The sequence below is a fragment of the Homo sapiens genome, chromosome 6 (genome assembly GCF_000001405.40).
Source record: "Homo sapiens chromosome 6, GRCh38.p14 Primary Assembly".
Lineage (NCBI taxonomy): Eukaryota > Metazoa > Chordata > Mammalia > Primates > Hominidae > Homo > Homo sapiens.
Window position 1 is genome coordinate 158161567 of NC_000006.12, and position 14524 is coordinate 158176090.

Here is a 14524-nt window from a genome sequence, read left to right on the forward strand (position 1 = left end):
CTCTGTAGGACCACACTGCCTGGTTTCAAATCCAATTCCACAAACAACTTGTATTAGTAATTTTTTTTTTTTTTTTAAGAATGCTTTGACATCTTAGGACCTTAAGGACCCAGGGAGTGACTGCCCCTCTCTGGGATAGCTAACTGCTAGAGGTAGCAAACAACCTGCCTGTGAGCATGCTTCTCATATGCAAACCAACCAATCCCAGGTGCATACCCCCAACCACCACACACAGCCAATGCTTCCCTTACTCTAAATCTCCTCAGAGCCAGGTACTAGGCAGCTAGAGACCACCTCTCTGGTCTGCCAAATTATTCGAACTATCCAATCCTAAGTTTGTTCAGCTCGTCTACCCTGTCTCGCTCATTCCTTCCCACAAAAAAAACGTTCATTCCTTCCCACAAAAAAACACAATAAAAGAAAGCTCTGGCCCATGCTTTCACATTGCTCCTTATGCCTCCTGAATGACCCTGGTACTTCCCCATGTGGCCTTGCATGGTGTGGCACGCCCACTCTTCCTTGGGAACTGTACATAATAAGCTCTTCTTTCAAGGCAGTTGTCTCTGTGTCTGTCTTCTTACCATTCCTGATTAAAACAAAATCCAGGTACATTTGAAAACACTAGACATATGATAATGGGCTATTTAACCTCTGTGTCTCACTTTCCTCATCTATAAAATGGTGATAATAAGGGAACTACTGTAAAGGGTTGTTACAAATATCACATGAGTTAATATATGTAAAACACACAGAATAGTGCCTATTCCAAATTAAGTGTTCAATAAATGCTACTTATCATTACTATCAATATTATATTCCATCTGGCAGTTTTAAGATCTTTTTGATGTTCTTACAATTCTCTACTTTATGTCTGGGTATGGGTTTGTTTTTATATACCCCACTCAAGATTTGGTATGCTCCTTTGATCTTAGAACTCACATTTTTCTTCAATTCTGCAATATTCTTAACAATTACCACTTTGACCCCCATTCAACTTTTACCTTCTGATACTCCTATTAGATGTATGCTAGATTTTTAAAGTCTAACCTTCAAATCTCAACTTCTTCCATTTTTTTCTATCTGTCTGACATGCACTATAATTTCCCCAAATCTATCTTCCAATTCATCACCTTCTGTTTAGTTGTATTTAGACTATCATTCGATCCATCCACTGAGTATTTCAAAAACTTTTATTTCTAAAACTTCCAGTTGGCTCACTTTCATACTTGCCTGCTTTTTTTACACATAGTTTTTGTCTTAAATGCAGATTTTTTTTAATGGCCACAAATTATTCCTTTTCCTATAACCATGATCTTTGGTAGTCCCCTCCCACGGTGACTTTAGATTGATCTTACGAGTAACTTTGGCCATAGGACAATAGAAGCATGATGCAAGCTGAGACTTGGGAAGTACGTGCACATCGAGGCTCCTGTCTTTTTGCTCTTGAGAAACCTGTGACCAGCACCATGTAAAGATGCCTAGGTTAGTCTGCTGGATCACAAGAGAAATGTCCAATATCCCCATTAATGAAGCCAACAAGTACCAACTGACAGCCAGCAACAGCCGCCAGGCATGTGAAGCCACATCAAACTAGCCAGCCCCTAGGTGACCCTACAAATCCATATTCAGTCCTTAGCCTGCAAGCAATAATAAATGTTTGTTTTAGCCCGTAGCCTTTGGGATGGTTTATAATGCCTCAAAAAGCTGACATGTAACTTCTAAACTTTCCTTTACACGAGATATATGAGGTTGCTGCCAGCATAACTTGTTTTACAGTAAATTTTATTTTTTTATAAGTAGAGGGAATAGATGAATACACTATAAAATAACAATAAAAAGTATACCATAGGGCCAAGTGTGGTGGCTCATGCCTATAATCCCAGTGATTTGGGAGGCCAAGGTGGGATGATTGCTTGAGACCACAAATCAACTGACTATATCTGCGGCACATGCCTGTAATACCAGCTACTCAGAAGCCTGAGGCAGGAGGACTGCTGGAGCTCAGGAGCCCAACACCAGCCTAGGCAATACAGTGAGACCCACATCTCAAAACAAACAAACAAAAAACCCTAATGGAATACATATGTATGGACCTATTCCACTCCATCGATCTATTTATCTATCCTTATATAAACACTGCACTGTTTAGATTATGTAGGTTTTTTGTTGTTTTTTGTTTTCTTTTTGACAGAGTCTCACTCTGTCGCCCAGGCAGGATGGAGTGCAGTGGCCTGATCTCAGCTCACTGCAACCTCCGCCTCCCAGGTTCAAGCAATTCTCCTGCCTCAGCCTCCCAAGTAGCTGGGATTACAGATGCCCACCACCATACCTGGCTAATTTTTGTATTTTGGGTAGAGACAGGGTTTCACCATCTTGGCCAGGCTGGTCTTGAACTCTTGACCTCGTGATCCACCCGCCTCGGCTTCCCAAAGTGCTGGGATTACAGGTGTGAGCCACCGCACCAGGCAGATTACTGTAGTTTTTAAAGTAAGTCTTGAAGCTAGTAGTATAAATTTTCCAGCTGTGTCCTTCCTTTTCAAGACGGACTATTCTAGGTCCTTGGTACTTCCACATAATTTTAGAGTCTGCTTGTCAATTTCTATTTAAAAGCACCTTTAAGATTATGGGGCCAGGCACGGTGGCTCACGCCTGTAATCCCAGCACTTTGGGAGGCCGAGGCAGGAGGATCACGAGGTCAGGAGATCGAGACCAGCCTGGATAACCCGGTGAAACCCCATCTCTACTAAAAATTCAAAAAATTAGCTGGGTGTGGTGGCGGGCACCTGTAGTCCCAGCTACTCAGGAGGCTGAGGCAGGAGAATGGCGTGAAACTAGGAGGTGCAGCTTGCAGTGAGCAAAGATTGCGCCACGGCAGTCCAGCCTGGGCGACAGAGCGAGACTCCATCTCAAAAAAATATATATATATATTATGACGGTGATTACATAAAATCTGAAACACTGATTTTAAGTAGAGAACGGAGAAATTTTGAGACTAAGAAAGACACAGAAAATAAAAGGGAAGAGATTATAATTTAAAAATAAAACAAATATTTGAAAATTCCATTAAGTTTAACAATATGGAGGTCACTGGGATCTTCATATCAGTAGCTTCATTGCCCTGGTGGAGGAAGCCAGAGTGAAACATCATTTCATGCTTTCATTCTGATTAATAAAACGTGAGTTGTAGCTAGGTACACAGACAACAAAAAAGACTACATCACCTTTCTTTCTTTCTAGTTAACTATGGGCACTTACAAAGAATTGGCTAATGAAATATGAGTGGATGTGTCATGTGCAATTTCTGAAAAGTGTCCTTAAAAAGAAGGGTATGTGCCTTTCTTCCTCCTTCCCTCCTCCCTCTTGCTAGAATGAGCAACTGACAGTTTGAATTAAAGCAGTCATCTTAACACCAAGCATCTTATTAAGGACGGTAGAGCAGCCAGATAGAAGAATCCGAGTCCCTGATGATTACAGAGCTGCTTCCATAAAAGCATGGCTGCCTACCTATGCAATTACATACATATTTAAGCCAGTATTATCTTGTTTTCTGTGTAACACAGCTGATTCCAACACACCACAGTTTTTTGTTTTTTGGTTTTTTTTTTGAGACAGAGTCTCTCACTCTGTCACCCAGGCTGGAGTGCAGTGGCGCGATCTCGGCTCACTGCAAACTCCGTCTCCCAGGTTCACACCATTCTCCTGCCTCAGCCTCCCAAGTAGCTGGGACTACAGGCGGCTGCCACCACGCCCAGCTATTTTTTTGTATTTTTAGTACAGACGGGGTTTCACCGTGTTATCCAGGATGGTCTCAATCTCCTGACCTCGTGATCCACCCGCCTCGGCCTACCAAAGTGCTGGGATTACAAGCGTGAGCCACCGTGCCCGGCCCAGTTCTTAATATCTATATGCCAGTGATCTCAGAGTACCTCTAGCTACGATCTTTCCTGACCTATCTATCCAACAGCTATTGGAACATTTCCACTTGGATGTCCAACAGGCCTTTCATACTCAACTGTCCAAAAGAGAATTCTTTACTTTTTCTCCCCAAACTCTTCCTCCACAAATCTTCTCCATCACTATCCATCAAATGGTCAATGCTTTTTGATTGTAAATGGTAAATGATCTACCTCTTAACTGAAGCAAAAAAACAGATGTTGCCCTTGATTCCTTGTTTTCCCCTTACTCTACATCTAAACCACGCAGAGTTGCTCTTCTCTACCATCAAAACATACCCCCAAATCCATCCATTTTTCTCTGTATTCACTGCTACACTCTTGTCTAGTTCAAGCCAACATCATCTCTCATTTGGAGTAATAAAATGACACCTCAAAGGTGCTTTTTGTAACTTAAGAAATCCTTCTCAGAGACATTTAAAAAAAAAGTTCTGGAGATAGATAGTAGTGCTGGTTGCACAATGTGAATGTCACTGAACTCAACAACTCAACATGGTTAACATGATAAATCTTATGTGTAACAAGATTTAACAAAGCAAACAAAAAAGAAATCTTTCCTAGAGACAATGGTCTCTTATATTCCTTTCCAAATACCTTGCAGCTGTGCCATTCACATTTAGGTCTTTATCTGGAAACTGTTGTCAATAGTTTGAAAGTAAGAATCTAATCCTGTCTGTATACCATAACAATGCCAGATATCTCAGCAACCATATATTTCATCATCCTTTATTGAATAGTCTATGCTTTCCCCCTGCTTTGCAATACCACTTAGTGGTATACTAAACTCCCGTATGTAAATAGGTATGTTTCTAGTGTCTCTATTCTGTTCCATGAATCTAATTCTCTATCCCTGAATCAATATCATACCATCTTAATAATTACAACTTTATATTAAGCTTTGGTATCTGATAGGGAGAGACCTTATTTTTCTTCTTCTTCAAAATTGACTTCACTATTCTTGGTCCCTTGCCTTTCCATATAAATTTTAAGTTCAGCATGGCAAATTCCATAAAACAATATGGTGATTTTAATTGGCATTACACTGAATTCGTAGAACTGAGGAAAACTGACATCTTTTTGTTGAGTCTTTCCATCTATTAATACGGTATATCTCACCATTTACTTGGGTCATCTTTTGTGTTCCAACAGAGCCTTACAATTTTCTGTCTAAAGGACTACACAGCTTTAGGTTCATCTATTTCTAGGTACCTTTAGTTTTGAATGCCATTATGAATAGTGTCTTTTTATTATTAAAACTCCTAGTTAATTGTTACTGGTATACAGAAGTTTTTAAATGCAGAAATTAAGGCCATTTCTGACATCCCCCTGGCCAAAATAACCCCTCTAGTCACTCTTTATCACATCACCAAATGGTACTTATTCCTTAACTGATTTCAGAGTCTCTCTGCCCCCACCAAAATTAGTTACCTGTTCACCATTGTATCCCAAGCGTCTAGAATAATAGCTGACACACATCAAGTGCACAAAAATGGAACTGATGAGATCAAGGAAGAGAATGTATGCAAGATGAAAAAAAGCAAATAAAAGATACTTGGGAAGAAGAAGACTTGGAGGCAATTTTTTTATTTTAAAGAGAGTGCAACAATATGGAAATCACCAGTTGGAAAAGATTTGAGGGATAGAAAGAGGGAACTAAATGGAAGAGCTGGGTTCCTTAGCGATCACATGAACACACACGATGTTAAAAAAAAAAAAAAAAAAAAAAAGGCAGCATGAGGTCGGGCGCGGTGGCTCACACCTGTAATCGCAGCACTCTGGGAGGCCGAGGCGGGGGATCACCTGATGTCAGGAATTCCAGACCAGCCTGGCCAACATGGACAAACCCCGTGTCTACTAAAAATACGAAAATCAGCCGGGCGTGGTAGCGCACGCCTGTAATCCCAGTTACTAGGGAGAATGAGGCAGGATAATTGCTTGAACCCAGGAGACGGAGGTTGCAGTGAGCCCAGATCGCGCCACTGCACTCCAGCCTGGCAGACAGACCGAGACTCCATCTCAAAAAAAAAAAAAAAAAAGGCAGCATGAGCTTAATGCGGGAAGTACAATTTAACCTAAGGAACAGAAAACAAGAATCTCATATCTCAACTAGTAAAAATAATGACAGTGTTCCTTTAGACTTACAGAACAGACTTGGGGAAAGGGAGTAACTTTAGAACCTTCTGGGGTCTTTCACTTTAAAATGACCGTTGCCGAGTTTAGAGCTCTCTCAGCATTCAATCTATTCCATCTCTGGGGTTAGAGAGGGAGCAGGAAGCGGTGGTCTGCAAGGCTCAGAAGTGACTGGTGAGGCCCTTTCCTCCTCCTCCTCATCTCTCCGTGACTACCGAGCCCGGGAAGACGGACCGGCAGGTGCACTCCCCAAGGCCTCGACAGCAGCCAGAGAAAGGCAGCGACAGGGAAAGACGAGTCAGGCTCGCGACCACCAGAGAGAGAGGCCCTCACGCCCAGCCGAGCGTCAGCTGGTCGGTCCGGTCCGCGCGCCAGACGGCGGTGCTCGGCCGTGCCCGGTCCCTGCCCTCCCCATTCTCCGCTCCCCACCGCGCCCAGCTGCGCCGACGCCCCCGTCCGCCCCCACACCACCCCTGCCTTCACGTCCTACCTGCCGGCAGGCGGACTCAGCCCGTGCCCAACTGCTCGTCGGACCCCGTTGTCTGGGGAGCCCTACTCTTTCCGCGGCTCCCGGCCGGGACCCTCCACCCGGCGGCTGGCGGCTCGTGACCCCGCCCCCTCGGCCCGCTCTGGGCCCGCCTCCCGCCGGCTGGCTCCACCCACAATAGCGTCCCTAGCGCGATGGCGTATCGGCGCAGGCGCACTCTGCCGGCAACGCCGAGGCGCTTCTGCATCTGTGGGCCGAGGTGTGTGGCGAGCGTCCGAGCGGCTGGGGAAAGTGGGGTGTGGGAACACTGAGGGGTCCCAAAGAAAGGGGAGAGGAAGAGAAAAGCCCCAGAAGCCTGTCCACCGGGTGCTGGGGGCACAGGGCGGTGTCCCCCACTCTCTCCGGGCCCTTCCTGGCGGGGCCGCACGGCAGTCCCCCCCTCGTTTAATCGTGGGTTTCCTGTGGGGCTAGGGCTCGCCCTGCGCCCAGGTGTAAGTGGAAGTTAATTAAATGGGCGTACGCTGAGTGGTTTGTTTCCAGCCTAGGTCCGCACGGGACGTGATTTATTTAGTGAAGGGGCACAAGATCTGGAGATCTGGCTTGTACTTTTTTCCTTTGGCCAGGAACTACGGCTTAATCTCTTCCTTTGGTCTCCTCATATGTAAAATGAGGTGGCTGAGGCCGGGCGCGGTGGCTCACGCCTGCAATCCCAGCACATTGGGAGGCCGAGGCGGGCAAATCACTTGAGGCCAGGAGTTCGAGACCAGCCTGGCCAACATGGTGAAACCCCGTCTCCACTAAAAATACAATAAATTGGCCTGGCGCGGTGGCTCACACCTGTTGTCCCAGCACTTTGGGAGGCCGAGGTAGGTGGATCATTTGAGATCAGGAGTTCGAGACCAGCCTGGCCAACATGGTGAAACCCTGCCTCTACTAAAAATACAAAATTTGGCCTGGCGTGGTGGCGGGCGCCTGTAGTCCCCGCTGCTTGGGAGGCTGAGGCAGGAGAATCGCTTGAGCCCGGGAGGCAGAGGTTGCAGTGAGCCGACATCACGACACTGCGCTCCAGCCTGGGCGACAGAGTGAGACTCTGTCTCGAAGTGTATATATACATATATATATATTATATATGTATTTTATATATAATATATATTTATTTTATATATAATATATAATATGTATATTATGTATATTATATATAATACGTATATTATATATAATACATATATATAATATGTATATTATATATTATATATAATATTATATTGTATATTATATATTATATATAATATATTGTATATTATATATATTATATATTATATATATTATATTGTATATTATATATAATATATTGTATATTATATAATATATTGTATATTATATATAATATACAGTATATTATATATAATATACTGTATATTATATATAATATATTGTATATTATATATAATATATTGTATATTACATATATTGTATATTACATATAATATATTGTATATTACATATATTGTATATTACATATAATATATTGTATATTATATAATATATAATATATATTATATAATATATTGTATATTATATATTATATAATATATTGTATATTATATATTATATAATATATTGTATATTATATATAATATATTGTATATTATATATTATATATTGTATATTATATATTATATATAAAAGTGTGTATATATATACACACACACACACACGATACAACACAGTACATTAGCTGGGCTTAGTAGTGCATGCCTGTAGTCCCAGCTACTCGGGAGGCTGAGGTGGGAGGATCGCTTGAACCCAGGAGGCAAGAGGTTGCAGGGAGCAGAGATCGCGCCACTGCACTACAGCCTGGGCGGCAGAGCCAGACCCTGTCTCAGTAAAATAAAATATAAACTAAAAGGAGGTGGTTGGGCTCACTGTATAATTTTTGAAGCACCTTTCAGAACTATCTTCTTTGATTCCTGTCTCCCAGGATCTTACCCTTTGTCATTCTCCTGAATGGGAAAAGAAATCCTTTGAATAATGGACGGTTTATACCTGGGTTGGGCACACTGGTGTAGAGTTAGGCCTCTTGCTTCTATTAGGGCTAATTGACCTTGGGTAGAATTGGCTGGCGAGTAAGATGTGGCATTAATATTCCAAGTAGACTCATTTTAATTTTGTTAAAAAATCAGAATGTCTTTTTTCTTAATGTTAACTGTCTTTCATAGACTTAACTGTTAAATATTGACATTTAATTATTTTGCCTCGTTTCAGAGGCAGATCCCCAAAGTATATGAAAGTTAATGATTTTTAATTTAATGTTACCTTACTCTTTTTATTAGCATTCTTCAGGTCATCTGAACCTTCTGAGAAAACATGGTCAACGTCTTGAAAGGAGTGCTTATAGAATGGTTAGTAGTTTTGATACTGCATGAGTTTTAAGTTTAAATATTGAATCTTGACTTGTATGTATGTCTTTTCTAAAACCCTGTTGTTTTTAAGATATGGATGAAATCAAGTCTTTCGCTTTTAACAAGTGGCACAGATTTTGTTGCAAAGCTCCTGGTGCCAGATTTCAGTCCCTCTGTTGAATTGATGGAACTGGCATGATCAGAGGCAGCATATTTGTTAGATGAGTCGTCTTTAGAGAAACAGTGCTTGCATTCTCCTCAAACATGATGAATTTTAGGGCCTGAAAGAGTTCAGGAACTTGCTTAAGTCTTTACCATTACAAACTGTGGACTTTAAAAAAGAGAAAAACAACAGAGCCAAATGGAGGTTTCTTAAATTCCTTTAGGTACATTCCAGAGGAGAAACTAAAAACCATAAATGGGCAGAGTTGAGTTCCTCAAAGCAATCCAGTGTCCAGGAACCCCGGGAACCCTGCTCTGTGGACACTCCCATTGTCTGAAAATACTACTGTCTACTTTCGGTGCCTCTAATATGAGCCAGTGCATGGATAATGATACTGTTTACTGTGATGGCAAGGCTAAGGAGGAGCAAGACCAAACCCTAGGACACTGCCAACATTTAGAACAGCACTAGCCAATAGAAATCTAATGCAAGCCACAGATATAGTCTTACATTTTTTCTAGCCATCTTAAAAGTAACGTAAAATGAAACAGGTGAAGTTAATATCTTTTGTTTAACCCTGTCTATGCAAAACACTATGCTTTGAACACATACTAAGTCTTCAAAAAAATCTTCATCTTCAAAGTCGAATGGATATTTTAATTTTACAGCACATCTCACAGACTAACCGTGTTTCAAGGACTCTGTAGTGACCTGACTAGTGGGCTACCTTATGCATAGTGCAGATTTGGAGTTTTGATACAGGAGACACCAACAAAGGCAACTAAGAAGAAAATAGCCAGTGAGGCTGGAGGGAGGAAAGCCAAAGGAGGAAGTGTTTTGTAGGGATGAGCGGCTGTGTTGGGCACTGATTGAGAACTGGCATGAGATGAAGACTGGAGTTTTGATGAGAGCCATTTGAATGGAGTGGTGGGGAGATGCCAGATTGAAGTACTGTGGAAAAGGAAAGGGAGGTGAGGAGGTGGAGATGGAGACTTCGGAGAAGTTTTACTGTGATCATGAGCAATCTCATAGAGAACTGGATTGGTAGCTGACGAAGGACATGGTGAGGGGCTCAGGTTCTTGCTATTTTTATTTTAATGTGAAAGACTAGAATGTACGTTGATGAGAGTAAACCACTGCGGGGGAGAGGTATTCACTTGGAAAAGCAAAGGGGGTGGGATCTGGACCCCAGAAGTTCTAAACACACTGTTCTGTTGTCTTTTGAAGGCACTAGGTTTGATGTACTTATTTTCCTATTAATTTGACATAACATAAACATTTTCCTCGTTGGCCTTTAGTGTTATTTTTAAATACAGAGGATACACATACACAGAGTGTCAGCTATCACTTTTTTTCCCTCGTTTCTTCCAATTCTAAGTTTAATCTTCACCCCTGGGTTTGTTAAATATTCACTTCTCTCTTCTGAGGGTTTTGTGTTTTTCTTGGTGTTTTAGATTCATTCATCTAGAATTTATTGGGAGGAGTGGCATAGGTTTGTTAAATATTCACTTCTCTCTTGTGGGGATTTTGTGTTTTTCTTGGTGTGTTAGATTCATTCATCTAGAATTTATTCAGAGAAGAGACATATTATTAGATAAGGATCTAAATTAGCTTCTTTTTTTTTTTTTTGACACGGAGTCTTGCTCTGTTGCCAGGTTGGAGTGCAGTGGCGCGATCTTGGCTCCTGGATTCAAGCGATACTGCTGCCTCAGCTGCCCGAGTAGCTGGGATTACAGGCACACACCACCACACCCGGCTAATTTTATTTTTGTATTTTTAGTAGAAATGGGGTTTCACCATGTTGGCCAGGCTGGTCTCGATCTCTTGACCTCATGATCCACCTGCCCCGGCCTCCCAAAGTGCTGGGATTACAGGCATGAGCCACTGCACCCAGCCTAGCTTCTTTTTTGTTTTGGGTGTTTTTGTCTGTTCATTTTGCCAAATATCTAGTTCTCCACCATTATTTCCTTTCTTAATGATGCTTGATGCCTCCTTAATCACATAATTTTACTCCCCTTGCTATTCTCTTTCATCCCTTCCCACATTCATCTTTCTTGTTGCCTATTCTAGAATAACCTTGAAATAACTTAGTCTGTTTCCAAAATAATCCTTTTGGCATATTGGTTGGAATTGCATTAAACCTACGTTTTAATTTGAAAAAAAAGATGACTGGATTGCATCTTAAAGAACAAAACTCTGGGGAGACTCTGAAGTCTCAGTGCCCGGTTTGCTGTCCCGTATCTAACCTCTGAATTCTACCTGGTCTCTCTAATGACTGTCCATCACCTTGCACTTCAGGGTAATCCCCAGACTAGCAGTAATAGCATCATCTGGAGCTTGTTAGAAATGCAAAATCTCAGACCTCACCCTAAATCTACTAAATCAGAATTGTGCATACAAAGAATCTTGTTAAGATGCATTTAAATTTTGAGAAGCAATAATACTGTTAATCAGCTTCAGTTTAATAATGTTTCCCTGTGGAGAAGTGTTTTGCACCAGGACTATTAAATTTTATTTTGCAGGTTAGGTACCATCCTTGCAAAACTAATTTTTCCCTTTGAAGTGAATTCTAAAGTGTAGTCTGCACAATTTTTCAAAAGGGTAACTCTGTCTTCCCAAAAACACAAGTCTTCCAAAAAGATTTTGGGCCTAAGAAATAACATAGATTCCCAAAGGAAAGGGTATGGCCAGTGCTAGTGGATTCCCTTTCACAGTTAGATGCAGATGTTAGGATGGTAACTGGAAAAGTCCTTCAGTTTCCCTCATGTCCATATTTGATGCCAAGGAGAAGCCTGTTAATAATATGATTATCAGTATAAGTCTGTTTATTACTTCATAATATCCATGGATTGTATGAAGCATTTAGGTGTATTGGAGTATGGAATTTGATAGGTCTGGAGTTTACAGGCAGACCACTCAAGGATCTTCTACAGCTGTTGCAGGTGAATACCAAAATTGAGGCTCAGCCCTGGAAGCCAAGTTGGTTTTTGGCTTCATGCAGGAAAGAATTCAAGAATGAGCCACAGAGTAAAGTGAAAGCAAGTTTATTAAAAATGAGGGAATAAAAGGGTGGCTACCCCATAGGCAGAGTGGAGTGGGGAGGGTGGGAAGCAGGCGGGCCTGCTAACTGGCTATTTTATGGCCATTTCTTGAGTATATGTTAAACAAGGGGTGGATTATTCGTGAGTTTTCTGGAAAAGAGGCAGGGATTCTGTGGAACCAGGAGTCCCCAGTCCAGACCATACGGGGTAACTTCTAGATATTGCCATGGCATTTGTAAACTGTCGTGGTGCTGGTGGGGGTGGTTTTTAGCGTGCGCATGCATTATGATTTGTGTATGATAGTGGTGAAGGTTGCTTTTGTTGCCATCTTGGTTCTGGCTGGTTTCTTTACTGTATCCTCGCTTATCGGTGGGGTCTTCTGACCTGTTGTTTACTGTCTCTCTTGTCTTGGAAACTAGTCCTGCTGAATTCCTATCTCACAGCTGCTTCCACTGTCCCAGGAATCTCTCCAAATTCCAGTCCCATCATTGTATTAATAGAAACTGATGTGTAATAGCTTATATAGTGCTGATCCACATATATCTTAGATTGGCTTCACTTAACTGCCATATTTAAACTCCATTTCTATCAGTTAAGTTTAACTGATTTTGAGTCTGCAGAGATTTGCTAAAGAAGTAAACCAAATTATGATGATGGCCATTTATTCTCACCTTCAGAGAATTGAAAAATCAGGGCACTTGGATATAATCTTAACTCCCAAGGGCTTATCAAATACTAAAATTGAAGGCTATAAAAGAAGTTTTATGTTTATAAATTTGCACTTTTATGTCAAAACTGAAAGGTTGGTGAAAATTTCCTCTTTGTTGGGATCCACCATCAATTGCCAGGCTCACACTAAGTATTCTCCCAAATCTAGCCACCAAGCAATTACCAAAGCAAGCAACACATGACCACAGTATGTCTGTGTCCAGTTCCAGATGCTGGAGCAGACCTCTGGTATAACAGTTGCCACAATTGGTTTGGCAAGTGCTTCAGCAAAGATTTGTTGCCAAGGTGCAAATTCCAACCAGTTTACATCACAATAGCAAAGAATCTGGAGAAATATGTATTATTAAACTACACTTATCCTTATGAGTTTGGCTTCTAAAGCTATATCGTTTATGAGAAGCGAAGTAAGAAGTATGGCAAAACCAGTCTAACCATTGTTCTGTTTTTTTCTCAGCATGTATAAATCTTTTCTCAGCCTTTGCCTCTTAGTAGGGCCATGTTCGCTGAAGTTTTCCAGGCACCCAAAACTGTGCCTGAGATGTGTGTGTGTGTGTGTGTGTGTGTGTGTGTGTGTATACACACACACACACATACACATATATAGATATGGCTTAGTAAATATTTGTGTACTGAATAAATTTTGTTAACAGAATTGAGTCCAGGTTTGTGATCTCAGCCAAAATCCCAAATTTATTAATGTTCCTTTAGAGCCTCTCTATTCCTACAGTGAGATTCACAGTGAATAAGATGGGATTCTTGATAAATTAAAGTTTTAGTTTGAAACAGATGTGTATACTAGGCCTCCTTTTAGCATGTTGTATATCAAAATAGCTTTTAAATGAGGAGGCTGTTGTCTTCCAGTCATAGCTTTTAAAAAGCAAGCACCCCACCAAGCTGCTGATGGAAGTGTAATCCCAAGAAACAACTGTAAGCAACTTGTGATGGGTGTTTTGTGCTTTTATATCCTTTAACACAATAACTCCGTTTCTATAAGTTTATCTTTAGGAAATCGCTGGGTGCAGTGGCTCACGCCTGTAATCCCAACACTTCAGGAGGCTGAGGCGGGTGGATGGCTTGAGGTCAGGAGTTTGAGACCAGCCTGGCCAACATGGTAAAACCCTGTCTCTACTAAAAATACAAAAATTAGCTGGGCATGGTGGTGGACGCCTGTAATCCCAGCTACTGGGGAGGCTGAGGCAGGAGAATCACTTGAACCCAAGAGGCAGAGGTTGCAGTGAGCCAAGATCATGCCACTGCACTCCAGCCTGAGCAACACAGTGAGACCCCATTTCAAAAAAAAAAAAAATTTTAGGAAATGATCAGAACTGCCAATAAAAATGTATGTATTTAATGTGCTAGAAAAAGAAATTTGTTGATTGTGGCATATTTTAATCAAATAATATAGCTGTTAAAATATTTGCAGACATTTTAAGTGATTCAGGGAAATGACACTGTACAATGATGTTAAGTGAAAACACCTGGATTCCTGTACTAACGCTGTTTTCCATGTGACATGTGCTATACTAAGCACTTGCTAATATTAATTTAGTTTTCACAACAGCCCTTTGAGGTAAGTGCTGTCATCTCCATTTATGGATGTACAAAGTGAGATACTTTGT

The 14524-nt window shown here is 41.4% G+C and overlaps 2 protein-coding genes across 5 annotated transcripts in view, besides 2 other annotated features; one reads left to right on the forward strand and one right to left on the reverse strand.

Annotated features, from left to right (window-relative positions):
- Window positions 1-6696, reverse strand: part of SERAC1 (serine active site containing 1) — a 58744-nt gene extending 52048 nt beyond the window's left edge. For 3 of the 4 annotated variants that reach the window (NR_073096.2, XM_006715586.4, NM_032861.4), the window contains exon 1: window positions 6574-6696. The gene's annotated coding sequence lies outside the window, so the exon portion shown is untranslated. Of the gene's footprint in view, window positions 1-581; window positions 587-6573 lie in introns of all 4 variants that reach the window. The other variant, XM_047419421.1, reaches the window with a different exon arrangement.
- Window positions 6494-6563: a silencer, noted in NCBI's record as "silent region_17733". NCBI's record gives its function as "represses an Ori minimal core promoter by ATAC-STARR-seq in GM12878 lymphoblastoid cells {active_cell/tissue: GM12878}" and the evidence as "EXISTENCE:reporter gene assay evidence [ECO:0000049][PMID:35858748]".
- Window positions 6604-6783: a silencer, noted in NCBI's record as "silent region_17734". NCBI's record gives its function as "represses an Ori minimal core promoter by ATAC-STARR-seq in GM12878 lymphoblastoid cells {active_cell/tissue: GM12878}" and the evidence as "EXISTENCE:reporter gene assay evidence [ECO:0000049][PMID:35858748]".
- GTF2H5 (general transcription factor IIH subunit 5) overlaps window positions 6784-14524 on the forward strand; it is a 30995-nt gene continuing 23254 nt past the window's right edge. The window contains exons 1-2 of the mRNA NM_207118.3: window positions 6784-6829; window positions 8904-8972. Of these exons, the coding sequence (NP_997001.1) occupies window positions 8938-8972 (35 nt within the window). The 5' untranslated portion in view covers window positions 6784-6829; window positions 8904-8937. The remainder of the gene's footprint in view (window positions 6830-8903; window positions 8973-14524) is intronic.